A 20,200-nucleotide genomic window follows, 5' to 3' on the forward strand; every position below is an offset into this window, starting at 1 on the left:
CAACAGAGCCTACACCGCAATCTTGTGCTTTGCTCACAGTTTAACTCAAGCGCTTTGTTACCACGTTCATCTGACCACTATATCTCTGATACTCTTTATGAATACACACAGGAAAAACTGCCACGAATGCTCTTGTCTGGTAGCACAATTAAGAGAAGGGCCCCAGAACTCTGGTGCTGGGACTTTTACACAAAAATTAAAAGTTGGGGTGGGAGGAAGAGCAGCTGAGACTGTCTAAAGACAAATCCTTTTACAAGTAATACCAGCCTAATTATATTAGCAAAAAATGGCCCAGAGATGCAAGAATGGAGGACAGACATTAGCAATAGTCCCCAAATAAGGTCAGCATGGATGCCACACCACACTTAGCAGGCTGGGTAGCATAGAAGCAAGTGAGGTATCAGAAATCAAAAAGGGTTGGCTGGGCACAGTGGCTCACACCTGTAATCCCAGCACTTTGGGAGGCCGAGGCAGGTGGATCACCTGAGGTCAGGAGTTCGAGACCAGCCTGACAAACATGGCGAAACCCCATCTCTACTAAAAATACAAAAATTAGCCAGGCGTGGTGGTGCATACCTGTAATCCCAGCTACTCGGGAGGCTGAGGCAGGAGAATTGCTTGAACCCGGGAGGCAGAGCTTGCAGTGAGCTGAGACCATGCCACTGCACTCCAGCCTGGGCAACAAGAGCAAAACACCAACTCAAAAAAAAAAAGAAAGAAAGAAATCAGAAATGGTGACTAAGTTGTGTTCAAAAGCACCACATGGGACTCTCCTTGCTGTTGACTGCATCAGTCTGATGTCTGAGCCTCATCAATGCCATATCACTACTGTTCTTTAAGATTTGTGGTGTACTAGACTCACAAAGGCCACTGAGCTCGGAAGCACAAGACCTGGGTTTGAACACCAGTTCTGCTGTCCGTGAGCTGGGTATTGTGAGTAAAGTTACTTAACCTCTCTGAGCATCTTTCCTCAGCTGATAAAAAAGCTATGCTGTCTGCCTCCAAGGGTGGGGCCCTGGACCATCAGCAGCATGATCATTTCCATGTCAAAAAGCTTTCCCGGGGCTAGGCACGGTGGCTCATGCCTGTAATCCCACCACTTTGGGAGGCTGAGGCAGGTGGATCACCTGACGTCAGGAGTTCTAGACCAGCCTGGAAAACATGATGAAACCCTGTCTCTACCAAAAATACAAAAATTAGCCAGGCATGGTGGCAGGTGCCTGTAATCCCAACTACTCGGGGAACCGAGGCAGGAGAATCGCTTGATCCCAGGAGGCGGAGGTTGCAGTGAGCCGAGATCATGCCATCACACTCCAGCCTGGGGGACAAGAGCGAGACCACGTCTCAAAAAAAAAAAAAAAAAAAAAAACTCTCCAAGGCCGGGCACAGTGGCTCACATCTGTAATCCTAGCACTTTGGGAAGCCCAGGCAGGTGGATCACCTAAGGTGTCAGGAGTTTGAGACCGGCCTGGCCAACATGGCGAAACACCATCTCAAGTAAAAATACAAAAATTAGCCAGGCATGGCGGTGCACGCCTGTAGTCCCAGCTACTGGGGAGACTAAGGTAGGAGAATCTCTTGACCTGGGAGGCGGAGGTTGCAGTGAGCCAAAATCATGCCACTGCACTCCAGCCTGGGCGACAGAATGAGACTCTGTCAAAAAAAGAAAGAAAAAAAAAGCTTTCCCAGGCCACATAACAGACAGCATCTCTCTTTAAACACACACACACACACACACACACACACACAATGAAGAGGAAATTCAGGATACTACATTAAGCCTGCTATAAGAGGCTTCATTTCATAAGCGATTTTATAACATGTAGTTCCCACTAAACTTAATTTATCCTTACTAGCTGTTACAAGTTAATCTTTTTCAGTTTTGACTGCCTTAACCCATTCAGATCACCACTGATGCTCATTCTCTTATAGCCTAGTATTGTATAAAATGTAAAAAGGAAATAGCATGTCTGTGGACAAACTGGGAAGGGAGTAAGAGGCAGGGCACGCATGAAAATTCTCACGGATTTTCCAAAGCAGAAGCGGCCAAGCTCTCCACAACAAGAGTGGCCTGGCATAGTGGCAAAATGTGGATCATTTTTTCCAAGGCCAACGTTCCTTTGCTCTACAGATACTTCGTTTGGGCAAAGATCACACTTAAAAATTACAATTAGGCACTTTAACCCTATGTACAGGGTATCTTGACAATATTGATGTTTCTTAGGGAATATCTAAAATTAAAACAATAATAATGTCTTTTCCTCATCTTTCTCTTACCCATTCACTGATATCCTCCCTCAGATTATTTATTATTTACTTACCTGCAGTTTATTTTAAAATGACTGAGCTTATTTCCATGGGAAAAGTTGAAGAATTTTGGTTATTTTCATTTTTTCTTAGCTATATTTTCTCATTTTTCTTCACTGATTATATATTACTGTTTTTAAAAAGGTGACTACAATTTTTTAATGAATTACTTACCTCAATAATTTTGATAATATCCCGTGGACCGATAATTTCCGGGTCAAACTTAACAAGGGCTTTGCTGGTGGCAAGGGCAACGGAGGCATAAGTGATGCCATTTGTCCTCGTGAGTTTGGACTCTATGTTGTGGACACAGGACGCGCAGGTCATCCCTGTGATCTGCAACACAGGATGGCAAGAATCCCACAGACCCAGGATCAAGGAAAGCCTGTGAAAGCCAGTCCAGGGAGTCTAGGTAACAGGCAGCCAAGAGCCTTTCCCTCCTCAGCACTGCTCTCAAGACCCTGGACTCCACCTCCAAACCCCGCATGTGAGATTCTCAACGTTCCTCCAGCGGCTTCAGGGACTAAAGAGTAGCTCTTCCCCAAAACAGGTACAAGAGACAGCCAATCGTGAAGCAGATGGCAACAGACCAAGGCTTGACTTCCGGCTCTGATACAGATGGGCTTTTATAAGCCCCTCTCCACTGTCTGTTACCTCACTGGCAAAGCCGGGATACTAATGCCTGTACGGGGTTGTGCACTTCTGTGAAACTCGCTGCACTCCTGAAATACTCTCCGTAATCCTGAGTGTTGCTGGCATGCGGTCTGCAGCTGCTGCTAGCATCCTCCCTATTTTAGTGCTCTGCTGGCTCCAAGGGTAATGATGTTAATACCTCTTATTAACAGGAGAAAAGTGGCTGATGCAGGAGATGTAATCAAAGGTGGTCCCAAGGTACAAATAGGCTATTGACAAGTGAAGGGAAGGACACTACCAGAAGGAGAAGCTCGAAAAAGACGACAGGCAGGATAGCATGATGTATTCAGGCAAACATCAAAAGCCAGGCTTCTCTGGACACAGGATGCTCGAGGGAGAGGAGGGAAGGCTGCAGGGCTGGATGGGTCCACAGCCTGAAGGCTCTCAAGCAGCCAGCTAAAGTGTTGCTAAGCTAGCACCTGATGCGAAGTCACTGAGGGGTAATGAGCAGTGGAATGATGTGACTGGAGCTGCATGCTGAAATTCGCATCAGTGATCCCAGAATAAATACAAAAAGAGCCAAGGGTCCCATCTGGAATTAGGGAGGAAGAAGAGGGGAGCTCATCTGCAATCAGAATGCATTCAACTTGGCCCAAGACCCAAGGAAAAAATGGGACTGCAAGGACCACCAGGAAAACTTAGGAGCTTATCTGTTGGCAGGTGACTGCCAACAGAATTTTAAAAATCAAGTATCCAAATATTTCAATGGTACTTCTCTGCTCTCCTTTTGTTTTTATAACAACAACAATAACAGGTAGCATTTACTTTGCACTTGCAACATGGCTGGTGCTGTCCTAGGCATTGTGCTACTCACACCAAACCTAAGAGGTAAGTCTCAAAACCGCAGTACTGAGAGGTTTAGGAACTTGTCCAAAGTCGCGCAACTAGTGACGGGTAGAGCTGAAGCACGTCCCCAGATGGGCTGGCTCCAGAATCTGCTCTGAGCCACTGCCATCTGCAGCATGAGGTGAGTCTTCTCAGACCAGGTTCAGAAGTATCCCTGCAGCGACAGGGCCAAAACTCAAACCCGGTTTTTAAAGCCTACACCGCTTGTGCCGTACCATGTTGTGTATCCTGACATGGGAAAGGGAAGTCTTAAGTGTGACGTGCTATTCCTGGGATATGTATTAGGCAAATATGAAGCAAACAGACAATTCACTCTTCTGAGTATCAGTGGTCAGCACTTCCTAGAAGACTAGTTAAATGCAGAAATTCACATAAAATCTGAATATGTGATGACAATGCAACTATTGATACAGCATGGTTTTTTTAAAAAAAGAACACTACAGACACAGCATGCTGCCATGCCGACGTAGACCCTGCTCTGCACGCCAGCCCGCCCGCACCCACCATGGCCACAGTTCAGCAGCTGGAAGGAAGATGGCGCCTGCTGGACAGCAAAGGCTTTGATGAATACATGAAGGAGCTAGGAGTGGGAATAGCTTTGCAAAAAATGGGCGCAATGGCCAAGCCAGATTGTATCATCACTTGTGATGGCAGAAACCTCACCACAAAAACCGAGAGCACTTTGAAAACAACACAGTTTTCTTGTACCCTGGGAGATGAGTTTGAAGAAACCACAGCTGATGGCAGAAAAACACAGACTGTCTGCAACTTTACAGATGGTGCATTGGTTCAGCATCAGGAGTGGGATGGGAAGGAAAGCACAATAACAAGAAAATTGAAAGATGGGAAATTAGTGGTGGAGTGTGTCATGAACAATGTCACCTGTACTCGGATCTATGAAAAAGTAGAATAAAAATTCCATCATCACTTTGGACAGGAGTTAACTAAGAGAATGACCAAGCTCAGTTCAATGAGCAAATCTCCATACTGTTTCTTTCTTTTTTTTTTCATTACTGTGTTCAATTATCTTTATCACAAACATTTTACATGCAGTTATTTCAAAGTGTGTTGGATTAATTAGGATTATCCCTTTGTTTAATAAATGTGTGCTAAAAGAAAAAAGAACACTACAATAAAAAAATTGTTTAAAAGAAATGTACACCTTTTCCAATAATCCTCTTGCTTTAGATTTTCCACATAGAAGTCTGAGCAGGCAGAGATGTCCACATGTAGATCCAGAGGTTTGCAGCAGAGACCCTGCCCCTCTTGTTGGGCACCTCTTGTGGGGCTGACCAAAGCTGTGTCCCAGCAAGTATCAGCTATGCCCTCCAGACACAGGGAGGCCCTACCACAGCAAAGGGTTTGCTCCACAAAGAACACGGCTTATCAGGAGCTCATGGGCCTCTGTGTCCTCAGTGCTTTCCCCTCAAACATCCAGTTACCACTAATGGCACTGACAAAACACACAAAGGAAGTAGAAACCCTCTGGCCTGGGTAAAGCAGCATCATTCAATTCTCTGTGAGTTCTTCTAAGTCTCCCTTTGCTTACACAAAAAGAGCTGTACAAAAAGTACAGAAGTGCTTTCAAACATAGCATGTTCTAGGCATCAGACACATCCATTGTTTTCAATAATGTGTTGGCACGTAGACAGATGGGAAATAATACCTCCCCACCCAAAACACTGGCAACAATCACTACCTGGAGCATTCCCCTCAGACTGAGTGTTGTGGAGCACTTTGGCCCTCTAGACACCCATGCACCTATCACAAGCCCTTTTCTCTTAGAATGGCACTTTCTACCACATGGACTTCCCTCTTCTGCCTTGAGATAGTTGCAGGCATGCTAGCTTCTTTTTAGGCTTGAAGGACTGTGTTCATGTTCAACTCCCCCTAACCACCCAGCTCAGGGCAGTCCACCGTCTTTAATTCCTGTTTCTTCTATACTCCTGCAGCTCACCATCTCTTCCTCCTAACACCCTGAATACTCTCAGTGGGATCCTCCCCATGACTGTTTAACGTAACTGACCTTTCTTAAAATGAACAAGTCATTGTTGTCGGCTTCAAAGGAAAGTGAAACAAACAAAATACCCAACAACAACAAACCAGACACGTCCAAGATGGGGAAATTTACTAATCACAAAGATGGATGTGTCCAAAATGCAAACTGTCAGAAGCCTGTAACCCCGTAACGCACCCACAGTACTTACTGTCAGCTCAATGTTGCCATCGGAGCCTGCGTAGTCCTCCATGACTGCTGCCTCAAAACCCAGGTCCTGGATGAACTGAGCTATCTCGAGGGGCTGGATGACCTCTGGGTCATACTTGATCTCTGCCTTTCCTGCCATCAAGGCAACCAACACGGAGAGAACACCTGGAACCATCAGGTCATGGCTGTAACACTCTGGGTGGGCAGGGCCTCTAGGTTGACACAGTCAATATAACCGAACAAAGAAACACATCTTCCCAGAATCCTCTAGAACAGCAGTTTTCAAACACTGTTTGAAAATGAGGCTGCACATGAGGCTTGCTTGGAAAGCCTTCGACAATCACGATGTCTGGTCTCTTACCCAGACCAACCAAATCAGAGTATCCCAGGGTAGGTGGCAGGCATCTTTTTTTCTTTTTTCTTTTTTTTTTTTTTTTGAGATGGAATCTCACTCTGTTGCCCAGGCTGGGTACAGTAGCATGATCTCGGCTCACTGCAACCTCTGCCTCCAGGGTTCAAGTGATTCTCCTGCCTCAGCCTCCTGAGTAGCTGGGGTTACAGGTGCGTGCCACCATGCCCAGCTAATTTTTGTATTTTTAGTAGAGATGGGGTTTCACCATGTTGGTCAAGCTGGTCTTGAACTCCTGACCTTGTGATCCGCTCGCCTTGGCCTCCCAAGGCATCATTTTTTTTTAAAAAAAAAAAGCTCCCCAGGTGATCCTAATGTACAGGGAAGTCTGACAACCACTATTCTAGAAGAACAATGCTTCTCAAACTTTAATGGACATATGAATCACCCGAGGACCTTGTTAAAATAGAGCTTCTGACTAGTCGGTCTAGGATGAGGTTTGAGAGTCTGCAGGTCCATCCAGCTCCCAGGTGATGCTCATGCTGCCTGCCCATGGACACATTCTCACTCAGGCTTTAGAAGACACCAATGAAATAAGGAATGTGGTCTGCAGTTATTGACTGCTGTTACCGGAAGGATATCCTTTTTTTTTTTTCTCCTTTTCTCCAGATACTTTCATACAAGGAAAAAATAAAGAATTTTCAAAAGTGGTTTTCCTTACTCTTTTATAGTTTCTAATGACTTTCAGGTATGAAAAAGAAATCCCACAATCTTGCTAACACTATTGTGTTAGTTTTACATGGGAAAAAAAGCCTCGTTCAAATAAATGAAAGGAAGGAAGTGCTTCAGAAAGGATGCCACATAGGATAAAAATGAGGATTCAAGTCAGGAACAGAAACATAGGCTATAGGAGATTATAGGCTAATTTTATGAGCAGTCAGACCATGGATAACAAGGGATCTCCTATTAACACCTCCATCTGCTAACAGTCACTCTAGAGCTGCAGGAAGCTATAATGCATAGTGAACAAGAGGCTGGAAAAACATGTCATCTGAATTCAGGGCTGATTCTAAGGGCCAGGGAGTTCAAGTAAAAAGACACATCACTGGGGTAAGAAAAGAGAAAGTGATTCTGGTGGCAAGGTAGAGTCATGGTTAAGAGATTTTCCAAACAAATAAATGGATCCGAATTTTATTGTACTTTCAGGTTTAAAAGTATTGGAAATGCATTCTGGAGGACAAAACTTTGACATTTCCACATATTTCTGTCCTGTTGTTCCTACAAACACTCTCTGGTTTACAGGAACAACAAGAAAGAATATTTGAAATTGGAACTTCTATACAAAATGCAGGTTATTTATTCATTTTATAGTAAGGGGTTGATGGGATGGGAGGGAACAAAATATGGAATAATACTAGTACAACCTAACTGAGAAGTCTATCCACAAAAGGTACTATGACCTTTAAACTGGATTTTCAATGGCTAACTTACTCAGAGATATATTTTATCTCAAACTAAATACTTCTTAAAGAACACAATGCCAGTTATACAAGGACATTAGACAAACATTTATGCTATATAATGAACTTGCTACCTGGTTATCAGGGCTACTGATAAACACAGTTGCTGGGTATTCTGAAGGGAGAATACGAGGTCTATACGCAGCATTCCTAAGTTCAACATGGGCGTTCATCTCTTACCAGCTTCTTTCTGCAGATTCCTTTCTATGTTAGACACACAGGATGCACAGGTCATGCCTTTGATCTGTAAGAAGCACTTCTGCGGTGCCACTGCTCTGGTTGATTGTGGGGACTTTGCCAAGATGTCCGGGGCATGGTTTGCAGGGAGCCTCCCAGTGTGGGGAGCCACTTCCTGCACAGATGTAGGTGTACCATCTGTAGTTTGCACCATGGAATTCCCAGCACTGTGGTTTCCAAGAGGGTTAGTAGAACAGCTTTCTAGGATAAAATGTCAGAAAATATTCAAATTAGAAGAGCAAATAATATGTTTTTCAGAACAAGAGGTTTCAGGGCTCTTGGTGAGGGTTCATTGTCCCGGCTCCCACCGAGCAGCCTCAGCCCCTGGGCTCCAGTAACTACCTTGTCCCTCAGCCATCCTGGAGGACAGAGCTCCCTGCTGTTGTTAATCTCTGGGGTTCTTCCCATTGCCTATTTGGATTTCCAGCTCTCTAATACCTTTGTAAATAGTTCTCTATATTAAATCCTTCCACTGAGCTACCCCGTAACTTCACCTTATCTTTCATTTCCTTCAGGAATACTTACTGCATGCGGGGTGCTATTGAGTCCAAGGAGAAACAAATCACGCTGGCCGCAAGGCTGTCCTCAAGGAGCTCCTAATCAATCAAGAAGGGCTCTTCAAATACAAACTGGCACACTAATGGTTTATTCCAAATTAAAGTTGCCAGGTAAAATACAGGACATCCAGTTAAATTTGATTCTCAGACAAACAACAAATAATTTTTACTATACATATGTCATGAATATTGAGCTGGACATGTTTATACTAAAAAACCATTCATTGTTTATGAAAAATTAAAATTTAAGTAGATGTCCTATATTTTTATTTGCTAAGTCTGATACCCTAAATACCTCTTCGGCTAAATAAAATTCTCATAATCCTGCCCAATTAAAAAAATCACTATTCTTTTCTTTCTAGGTTTATTTAATCAAATCCAATTATTCTGTAATATGTAAGTTCAGTGCTAATTTCTTTTTACCACTAATAACCTGATTGCACGGTTGAAAGACTTTAAACATCACACAAAAACAGGCAGATGTTTACCTTATACTATATTTCTTACCTATTGCGTACAGGATTTACTGTTCTATTGTGTTTTCCTTATTGATTTTTGTTTTAAAGAAACTCCTTCCTGAAACTTGATACAAAAGACAAAGCACAAAATGGGGCCAGGCCACTCCACATGAATGCCCACTCCCTTCAGCAGTAGGTGTGTGCTGTGGGCACAGAGGGGAGGCAGCAAAGACTCACAGCTGAGTGAACTTTTCAAGGACACAAACTTTATCTCAGTGACCACAGGAAATGATGTGGGAAACCAAAGTTCAGCCATCCCTGAGCACTGAGCTGCCAGTGGGCTTGCCCACGCCACTGAAAGCAGCTCTTCTTAGTGTTGGGCCCGCTGCTCCCTACAGTACCGAGCTCCAGCCAAAAGGCTGAGGAAGCCAGCCATGTCCTGGTCCAGTCCACAGAGACACGCACGGGCAGGGCCCATGTCTGGGACCTAATCGGTTACAACACACCACCCACACAGCTGCCCCTCACAACATGTGCCCCTTCCCTCCTTATCTTCAGCATTTCTCTCAACCATCTCCACTCACCTATCATCCTCTTTATCCCTAATCTAAGCTACTAGTGGTCTCCACCCTTACCAGCAGCCAAGCTGGGCTCCCACCTTCCCAGGGTCCTGAAGCAGCTGCCGAGGCCTCCAATGGCCTCCCCTAGTTAACCCGCGAAGATACGATTCAGACCTTGGCCTCTGCGGCTCGCATTATGTCCAGGGTGACTAGGAGACCCCTCCTCCTCCCTCTAATTCTTTCCCATCTCACAATCACTCTTTCTAGGTCTCTGTCATCTTCCCACACTCTGCATTTCCGGCCCCACACTCTCCCTCAAAATTCAAGGCCCTTCTATCCCACTGTCCTCCAGCATCTCAGCTAAAGGCTCATCCCAGTTACCCCTTTCCTCCATGGCCCTCCCCATCACACACCCCTCTTGGTGACCCCAAGCTTGGTGGAGCTGCCCTCCTGAATGTCTTTCAAACCCACCTCTTTCTCACCCGGCCTCCTACGTGGTCTCATTGCCTCCATGGACACTGTACTGTGACACCACACCAGTCTTCTAAAATATAATCTGACTTCGTGCTTCCTCTGATTAAAACCCATGATGGTGGCTGAGCATAGTGGCTCACGCCTGCAATCCCAGCACTTTGGGAGGCTGAGGCGGGAGGATTGCTAGAGGCCAAGAGTTCAAGACCAGCCTGGGAAACACAGCAACACTCCGTCTCTACAAAAAAATAAAAATAAAAAATGAGCCCGGTGTGGTGGTGCACACCTGTAGTCCCAGCTACTCAGGAGGCTGAGGTGCGAGGATCACCTGAGCCCAAAGGTTCAAGGATGCAGTGACCTATGATCATGTCACTATCCTCCATCTTGGACAACAGGGCAAGACCGTGTCCCTAAAAAAATTAAAAAATTTTTTAATTAAAAAATATAAAAGCCTGGTGGCTCCCTCACCTTTACCTCTTCTCTTATATTCATCAAACAGGGAGAAAAAAATCATTTATAAATCCTTTCCTTAACTCTCATTTTTACCAGCATGGTCTCTAGGTGATGAGACTAAGGTTCTGTTGTTTAGCAGTAAAATCTTTTGAGAAGGTGATAATAGTTCTCTTGGTAAGAAAAGGGCCTGGATGGTCCCACAGTGCTCTATTTCAGGATACAGAATCAGAATTCTCTCCAGAAAAGAAGCCCAAATCCAAGGAGGTTCGCATTCAAGTCAGCCATGGTTTGACTGTGTCCCCCAAATTTCATGTGTTGGAAACATAATCCCCAATGTGGCAGTGTTAAAAGGTGAGGGCTTTAAGAAGTGACTGGATCATGAGGGTTCTACCCTCATGAATGGAATCCACTCATGGATTAATGGGTTATCACAGGTGTGGCATCGAGGCTTTCTAAAAAGAGGAAGAGCCACCTAAGCAACCACGTGAGCATGCTCAGCACCCCTGCCATGTGATGCCCTGTGGCACCGGAGTCCCCACTGGCAGAAGGCTCTCACCAGATGTGGCCCTCAACCTTAGACTTCTCAGTAACTATAAGAAACAAATTCCATATCTTTATAAATTACCCAAATTCAGCCATTCTGTTATAAGCAACACAAAACAGACTAATACAAAATCCCAACTACATGAAAAGCAAAATCTAGACACTTGGAGATTATATTTCCTCTATCTTAACAAATTTAACATGCAAGGAAAGTTTGCAGGATTTTGTTCCACTGTTGACATGGGAGGCAGGGAGCAGGGCTCACCTATACCACCATCCAGGAGCTATAAGACACAAAGAGAAAAGGAGACAAGCTCAGGACATGCCTCAAACACACTACGTACCAGAAACGACTGAAGCCTCAAATCCCATGTCTTCTATAGCAGCTCTGAGTTCTTCTGGGCTAATTACAGAGGGATTATAAAGAACTGTTGCAGTCCCTTCGGCCAAAGACACCGATATTTGCTGCACCCCTTCCAGTTGGGAGATCATGCCTTCAATGGAATGGACACAGGATGCACAGGTCATGCCGGCAATGGCAATCAGAGTGGTACTGCATGTGCCCTGGACCTGGTTTCTCGGTGGGGAGCCAGGGGAATGAGAACTGGAAGACCTGTGATCTGTCCCACTCCCTTCGGCTCCATCAGGAAGAGAAACTTTAAAATTCCCAGGTGGAAGTGCCTCGATAGCCCTCTGCAGAGCCACTGGGCTGGTACAAGAAGGGTCATACTTTACTTGGGCAGTTTTGTTCTCCAAGGACACTTGAATACTTTGAACCCCTAGGAGCTGGCCAATATTTTCTTCAATATTCAAGACGCAAGACTTACAATGCATTCCATCTATTCTCAGTTGGAGGGTGACCACATGGCTTCCTTGGTGCCCCAAGGTCTCAGAATTATTAAAATTCTGGTTAGCAGAAGATAAAGGTCTCTTTGGGTTAGTGCTTTGTAACCGCTCAATATCAATTGGTCCCAGGCTTAAGGGAGCCACTTTGCTCTTGATGGCAGCTTCAAATCCCATGTCATTTACATGGTCCCTGAGGTCTTCGGGCTGAATGAGATAAGGCTGATAAGTGATGACGGCCTCTTGGTTGCTGAGTGAGACTTTGACTCTCACTACTCCTTGCAGTTTCCGGACCTTGCCTTCAATGGAGCTGACACAGGACTGGCAGGTCATGCCCTCCACCCGGAGCTTGACCACAGCCTCCTGGGCAGGCAAGGACCTTGAGGGCCAGGAGGCTGCCTTTCCTTCTGCAATGCTGGCCTCGAAGCCCATGTCCCCAATTTGATGGCAAACCTGTTGCAGGCACACAACCGATGGCACATATTTCACAGTGGCACTGCCTTGTTCCAGGGAAACCTTCATGCTGATGATGCCTTTCAAATTGGAAATCCTGTCCTCAATGGACTTCACACATGACTGGCAAGTCATGCCCAAGATCCTGACTGTGCTGGTGGCCACCTGAGAAGAAGGGCCCAGGCCATCCAGACCACCTTCATAGCCAACATTGTCAAAAGCAAAACTCTTCTTCATTGCTGGTTCCCAGGCACGGGTAGGCAAAGAAAGCTTAGATAAGATCTAAAAAGAAAAGAAATAACATTTTTTAACCTTGAAACCAAATATTTTCTACAACATCCCAGCTTCTCTGGCACTGAGAAAATGGAAAACAATGCCACTGGTGTCAAAATATCCCAAGGGTAGAAGAACATAACATACACAGAAAGCAAGCTAAAGGCAGCATCTACAAAATGAAAGAGCTCTGACATTCTTCTCTGACAGAAGCTAACTGTCTGTCCTCCTTAGTGAAATGTCGTTCTCACACAACAGACGTGGAGGATTCTGAGGGAAAGAAGGAAAGCACGACACAGCTTTACATATGGAATGCAGCACGGCTGGCCTGCAGCAGAGGCAGAGGGCACAGCGGCTCACGGTGGGAAGGCACAGGTATCCCAAAAGAGGTCCCCACCTCTGGCTGATACCTCCCCACAGAACTTAGTCCTTTCAGCTCAAACTTTGGGGGTCCTGCTGAAATACAAACCCCAGAATAGTCAACACCTTACTTCTATATCTCTTTCTAGGGGTGTCTGTCTGATTATCTTAGCAGAGGTTAAATGTGCTTAACACCCTTCAGGTACACGCTCCAAATGCAGACTTCCCAGGACCATAGGGTCGGAATCCAAAGGTGGGCCACATGCCTGTGAAAAAGCTTTGGAGGTATGCTCCCTGGGCGAGGTTTAATGAGCACCTGTGGCTGAGCCGAGGGGCGGGAGGGGAAAGGCTGGAAGAACAGAAAGTTGAGTTTCACAAGGAATTTCATAGTTCTGCCTGTGACTCAGTGTCACCGCCCTCCTGGGTGTTCAGGAGAGCTGTAGTCATTACCTGAAATTTCAGGTACATCACTTAATTAAAGAACCTGTTTTCTTAACACAACACAGTACAAGTGTTATTCCCTGGTTTCTACACAGGATGATGTAGTCTCAGTCATTCTATTAACAAGCAAAATCTTCCTTTCACAGGCTCCCAGCCTACAGCTGTCTTAACTAGATATACTTTTTACACCAGAACTTCCATGTGCTTCAGAAATTTGGGAACAGGCCTTTATACATGATACATCATAAAAAAGCACATTTCTCTCTACTTGTACACAATCCTGCTTGTCTTCAGATGAATCTCCTTTACATGGAATGATCTTCTCCTTTTTCCTGTGCATAAAATGCAGACCTTGCCAACCGGCTTTTGAGCAGCTTAACAACACAAATGTTTAAATAACTTGTAAAATGCAGACTATATAAATGTTGATTTCTATATCCACAAAGGTTTGGGATTAATAATTACATAGAATTTTAAATATTCACTGTAGCATTTCCTAAGAGAAAAAAGGGAATAATTAAGTAATTTGGGGGACAGCAGTTCAAAAGATATTGCTGAATCCAGTAAATACATGAATGTTTAATGATGTTAAGGATGGTGATACATTCTGAGAAATGAGTCATCATTGTGACTTCATCGTTGTGTGACCATCATAGAGTCACTTACACACACCTAGCTGATGTAGCCTACCAAACACCTGAGCTGTATGGTGTAGCCTGTTGCTCCTAGGCCACACACCTGTACAGCATGTTACTGTACTGAATACTGTAGGCAATTGTAACACAATGGTAAGTACTTGTGTATCTAAACATATCTGAACATAGAAAAGGTACAGTAAAAACACAATATAAAAGATTAAAAAATGGTGCACCTGTATGGGGCACTTATCATGAATGGAGCTTGCAGGACTGGAAGTTGCTCTGGGTGAGTCGGTGAATGAGTGTTGAGTAGATGTGAAGACTTAGGACACTGCACTACTGTCGATTTTATAAACACTGTAAACTTAGGCTACACTAAATTTATAAAAAATAGTTTTATTTCTTCAACAATAAATCAACATAGCCAGACAGTGGCTCATTGTAATCTCAATGCTTTGGGAGGCCGAGGCAGGAGGACTGCTTGAGCCCAGGAGTTCAAGGTTACAGTGAGCTATGATTGCACCACTGTACTCTAGCCTGGGAGACAAAACAAGACCCTGTCTCTGAAACAATAATAATAATTTATTAATTAACCTCAGCTTGCTGTAACTTTTTTACTTCATAAACGTTTAATTTTTTTTTTTTTTACTTTCGACTCTTTTGTAATAACACTTAGCTTAAAGCACAAACACACTGGACAGCTTTATCAAATATTTTCTTTATATACTTATCCTATAAGCTTTTAAAATTTTTTTATTTTTAAACTGTTTAAGCATTTTTGTTAAAAACTAAGACACAAACACATACATTAGCCTCGGCCTACACATGGTCAGGATCATCAGTATAACTGTCTTCCATCTCTACATCTTCTCCCACTGGAAGGTCTTCAGGTGCGATAACAGGCATGGAGCTGTCATCTCCTATAATAACAATGCCTTCTTCTGGATACCTCCTAGGACCTGCCTGAGGCTACTTTACAGTTAACTTTTTCTTTTTATAAGTAGAAGGAGTACACTCTAAAATAACAATAGAGTATAGTAAATACATAAACCAGTAACATAGTCATTTATTATCGAGTATTATGTACTGTACAGAATTGTATGTGCTCTATTTTTATATGACTGGCAGTACAGTAAGTTGGTTTACACCAGCTCACCAAAAATACATGAGTAATGCATTACTATGACATTACAACAGCTGCGAGATCACTAGGCAATAGGAATTTTTCAGTTTCATTGTAATATCATGGGACCAGTGTCATATGTGCAGTCCATCATTGACTAAAGCATCATGACTGTATAGTAAGGATGACATGGTATAACAATATTAACAGACAAATGACTAGCCACCTCGGACACCTACCTGGAAACGTCTACGTCAAAAGACATTTCAGGCAGATCAAAGATTAACATGTAAAAAAGAAATAACAAAAACACTAGAAGAAAACACAGGAGAATATCTACAATAATCTTAAAGTGAGAAAAGCCTAAATATGACCAACAAACCAGAACAAAACCAAGAAAATCCAAAAGCTATAAAAGATTTGACATAACTAAACACAATAAGGACAAAAAATTATTCAAATGAAGTCAAAAGATAAAAAACTGGGGGAAAAAAGATTTGCTTCACATAGCATACATTAAGAGTTAATTTCTTTAAATACAGAGAGTTCCTCCAAAAAAGAAAAAGGCCAACAATCCAAACAAAAAAGAAGACAGTTCATCAAAAAAGAAATGCATATGGTTTTTAAAATACATGGGAAAATATTAAAAAGAAATGTAACATTCCAACCACACTGGCACAGTCTTCCTACATTGCTAGTGGGAGTGTAACCTCTCTGGAGGGCAATTTGCAATACCTATTAAAATTACAAATTTACGTACTCTTTTACTCAGCAACTCTACTTCTAAGAATTTACCCAATAAATATATTTGTTCATGTGCAAAACAAAGCATGCCATGGAGATATTAAATGCTGAGAAAGATTAGAAACATCAATGTCCATCAATAAGAGGCTAGTTAATTACTGTACAGCCATAAATGGAATATTATTCAGCTCTTAAAATGAATGATGTGACTCTGTATGTAATGAAATAAGCTGATATCTAATATACTGCTCAGCAACAAAAGCAAGGCACAGAAAATATCATATATATAGCATGTGTTTGTTATCTGTTGCTACATGACAAACCAACTTTAGTACATTACTAGCAACAGCTCACAATTTTTCAATTCGGACAGGGCTTGGCAGGGAAAGCTTGTCTCTTCTCCACATAGCACCACTGGGGGTGGCCTGAATGGGGCTGGCAGTTCCACTTCCAAGAAGATAGTTCATTCATCACATGGCTGCCAAGTGGATGCTTGCTGCCGGCTAGGGGCTCAGATGAGGCTGTTGGCAGGGACCCGGTTCTCTTCCATGTGGCTTCTCTTTATGACTAGGTGGGGACCTCACAGCTGGGGGCTTCTGGGTACTGAGAGGGAGTGTCACAATAGCAAGCACTCCTCTAGAACACATTTCAAAGTGCAAGCTCTTATCAAACCTCTGCTTGCATCACACTTGCTAACACCCATTGGCCAAAACCAGTCACACGGCCAAGCACAGTCAATATGGGCAGGAATTACACGGAGCTTGAATACAAGGGTGTGTAGTTCACTGAGAGGGCTACAATTCTGTCATGGTGCTAGGACTACCTGTGTGAAACAAGAGAATATCATACAAATGGATGCTTGTATAGGCATGGATTATCTCTGGGACAGTGCAAAAGCTAGTACAGAATTTGAGGAAGATTAGGCAGCTGAAGGGGACCAGGTGGCTGGGATACAGAGAATTACTTTCACTATATAATTTAACTGTACAATACACACATTACCAAAATCTAAAAATTAATTTAAAATTAAAATAACATGAGCACAAAGAAGACTCAGAACAGTGACTTGATTGTAGTTGGTGTTAATTAAATACTTCTTTAATTAAAAAAGAACCAAGGATAAAAGAAAAACTAAGAAGATATTCAAAGACATTCATTTTCATATAGTACCTTATTAGGCAAAAACCTCTTCCTCATAATAAGAAAGACATAACCCTCAACCATCTAGTTTGTTGGAAAAACAAATCCCTCATGATAACCCAGTTTACATTTTTTGGTCCTCGCTCCAACTACAACTTTACAAACCCCAAACCATAACAGCAGCCCTTAATTTCTAGAATGTTGATTCTATGTTTCTGCCAAAAGGGTTTGCAGTAGTACTGAAAGCAATTTCTTATTATCAAACACTACTCAGAGGCCCCCCTTTCTAGACAGGCAGGTTTTTAAGGCCAAGCAGTTACAGAAGACAAAGCCTTGCAAATAACATATCTCTACAAAACACTAAAGTATCTGTTGGTCTAGGAACAACCTCATTAAACAACTGGTAGTGTTTGGATAGTTTTAAGTGTAGACACAGGGCATATGCATGCTTTTAATTCAGTTCTTCAATTAAGATGATCCTTGGGGGAAAAAACTCTCCTGATGAGTTTTAAAAAACAAACACAGGTTTAGATTTAAGGGCCCATCAAAGAGTCACAGAAATGGAGAGCAGGCCAAGGTTCCACATGGATATCCCAGAAAGCCTTGTGAAAGCCCTAGTTTATCTAATTCCCACTAGATTCTGCACTCCTTACGGACAGACATTTGGGACATTTTCTGCAGACCCAACACCAGGCTTTAGAATGACTTTTTCTAGCTTTTGAATTTTTGATAAATGATGGTAGACGTCAGGATGAGAAAGGACTGGAAGCAGAGGAGGCCACAGAAGGGAGTCCAAAAGTGAATTTCAATTCTCTGCTACCTCTCTAGGTACCCAAGTCACACGAAATTTGCTGAGAGTGCCAGGGCTTTTAAAATAAAATATAGGTTAAAAAAATAACTACTGATTCACCAAGATGAAGCCAGAAAGGAAAACAAAATCTCTGGATAAGCCATTCTGATATGAAGAAATCAGAAACTGGGTGGCATGTTTTCATGAAGGCTTTCAAAGCCAATCTGATAGTGAAAAAGCAGAAACAACATGCTTTGTTAGAAAGTGGCTGTGATCACAAATCAAAAAATACTAACTCATGTACAAGTGAAGGACCACTGGCCACTTTGGAGGTCTCTTGATCACTCTTGGATTCCCATCAACCTTAAATAGGATACCAGTCAGTCCCCTGCTGCCTATCCTCAAGAATTCTTTCACTTTGAAGGATGTATAACACCCATAACAACTTATGAGGCAAACATGTTATACATGAAGGCAACTTTTCCAATATATCACCTCCCCCCATACAACTTAACACATCTGAACTTTCATGGGATTCAAAATACAAAAAAGTCCGGATTCTTTCATATGCACGCAGATCCAATAATAACAAATAATTAATGATTCTGAGTGTTATTTTATGAGGATGGCATTTTATATCCCTCATGCTTAGGGCAATTCTAGAAGGAGATATTATCACCATTTCACTGTTGAAACTGACTCAGAAGCTTATCCAAGAGCACAAATCAACATTAAGTAACAGAGCTGGGATTTAAACGCTGCTGAGAAATCCGAGAGGCTCTGTATTTTTTAAAAACAACTTTTAGAGTAACCTTTTCTTTTCAGCCATGTTAATTATAGGAAGAGACTACAATGCAGAAAAGTGAAATGAAAATAAACAGCCATACCTGCAAGCAGCAAGCCAGGCTAACACACAAGAGAGCTGAGCTGCCTGAGCCCTGGCTTCACCCACTAGTATCTGTCACCTCAGGAAAACTACAGCAAAATATCCACACTCGCTCCACTTTCCTCAATATCCCTAATCAAGGCAACCACACTTACAGGAGAAGGCACACAAGACACAAGTCAGAGAAGACAACAGCTCTGGACCACGTACATCCTGAATATCTGGAATGAGTACTGCCTTGCTCGGCCTTATCTAAGAATTCTCTGGATGCCACAAATTCACAGGGGAGGGCACAGGTCAAAAATGATGCCTGACTCAAGAAAGGATCTCACCCAAACCATCCCAGGCATCCAGGCCAGTGGGGGTTGGTCTCTAAAACCCCCACTGAGGAAGAATCAATGTCCCATATTAACCTCTATGAACATTAAGTATACAGGGGGATAAACGTAAATATCAGTAGAGAAAATTCAGGTTATCTTTTGGTGAGTTATGAAATACTGATTTTTAAAAATATCTGTACATAGTTCCAATTTTTCAAACTTAAATTAAAAAAACAAGTGTTACTTTCACAAGCAGAAAATAAATGTGATTTTCCCGTTTGTCTAAGGCAAGCCTGTCCAACCCATGGCCTGCAAGCCACATGCAGCCCAGGATGGCTTTGAATACGGCCCAACACAAATTTGTAAACTTTCTTAAAACATAATGAGATTTTTTTGGGTGTGAATTTTTTTTTTTTTTTTTTAGCTCATCATCTATTATTAGTGTTAGCGTATTTTATGTGTGGCCGAAGACACATTCTTCTTCTAATGTGGCCCAGGAAAGTCAAAAGTTTGGACACCCCTGCTCTAAGGCAAGGAAGAAAATGTTTTGTTAAACCATTCTAATTTGGGCAACAATATTATTGACTGTGATAAAGATAACAACAATGATGAATTGATGACACTTTTGTAAATTGCTTTATAGTTCAAAGAGCATTTTCACATATATTTGTTTAAATATCTGTCTTTCCTACTTCTGAATTTCTTGAGGGTATGTCTGAGAGTTTTAAGTATGAATTCCAGCATTATCTGAGCAAATCCAGGCCTCAGTTTCCTTTAGGTATAAAGGTTTGTGTTTTGGATAGTTTTAAGTGTAGACACAGGGCACATGTATGCTTTTAATTCAGTTCTTCAATTAAGATGATCTTTGGAGGAAAAAACTCTCCTGATGAGTTTTAAAAAACAAACACAGGTTTAGATACAAGAAAGCTCCGGCTGGCATCTGGCGGGAGTAATAATAATGGCCATCTTACAGTTGTACAGGAAGGCTT

The 20,200-nt window shown here is 42.7% G+C and overlaps 1 protein-coding gene and 1 pseudogene across 41 annotated transcripts in view; one reads left to right on the forward strand and one right to left on the reverse strand.

The window, feature by feature from the left end:
- The window catches only part of ATP7B (ATPase copper transporting beta), a 79,464-nt gene that overhangs the window by 29,722 nt on the left and 29,542 nt on the right, over positions 1-20,200 (reverse strand). For 30 of the 41 annotated variants that reach the window (NM_001406541.1, NM_001406531.1, NM_001406527.1 and 27 more), the window contains 4 exons: positions 11,545-12,778; positions 8,102-8,359; positions 6,054-6,217; positions 2,482-2,643 (listed from right to left, as the gene is read on the reverse strand). In NM_001406541.1, the coding sequence (NP_001393470.1) occupies positions 2,482-2,643; positions 6,054-6,217; positions 8,102-8,359; positions 11,545-12,778 (1,818 nt within the window). Of the gene's footprint in view, positions 1-2,481; positions 2,644-6,053; positions 6,218-8,101; positions 8,360-11,544; positions 12,779-19,046; positions 19,115-20,200 lie in introns of those variants that run through there. The other 11 variants (NM_001406544.1, NM_001406536.1, NM_001406530.1 and 8 more) reach the window with 5 other exon arrangements.
- Positions 4,292-4,950, forward strand: FABP5P2 (fatty acid binding protein 5 pseudogene 2; annotated as a pseudogene).

This window comes from Homo sapiens, chromosome 13 (genome assembly GCF_000001405.40).
Source record: "Homo sapiens chromosome 13, GRCh38.p14 Primary Assembly".
Taxonomy (NCBI): Eukaryota; Metazoa; Chordata; class Mammalia; order Primates; family Hominidae; genus Homo; species Homo sapiens.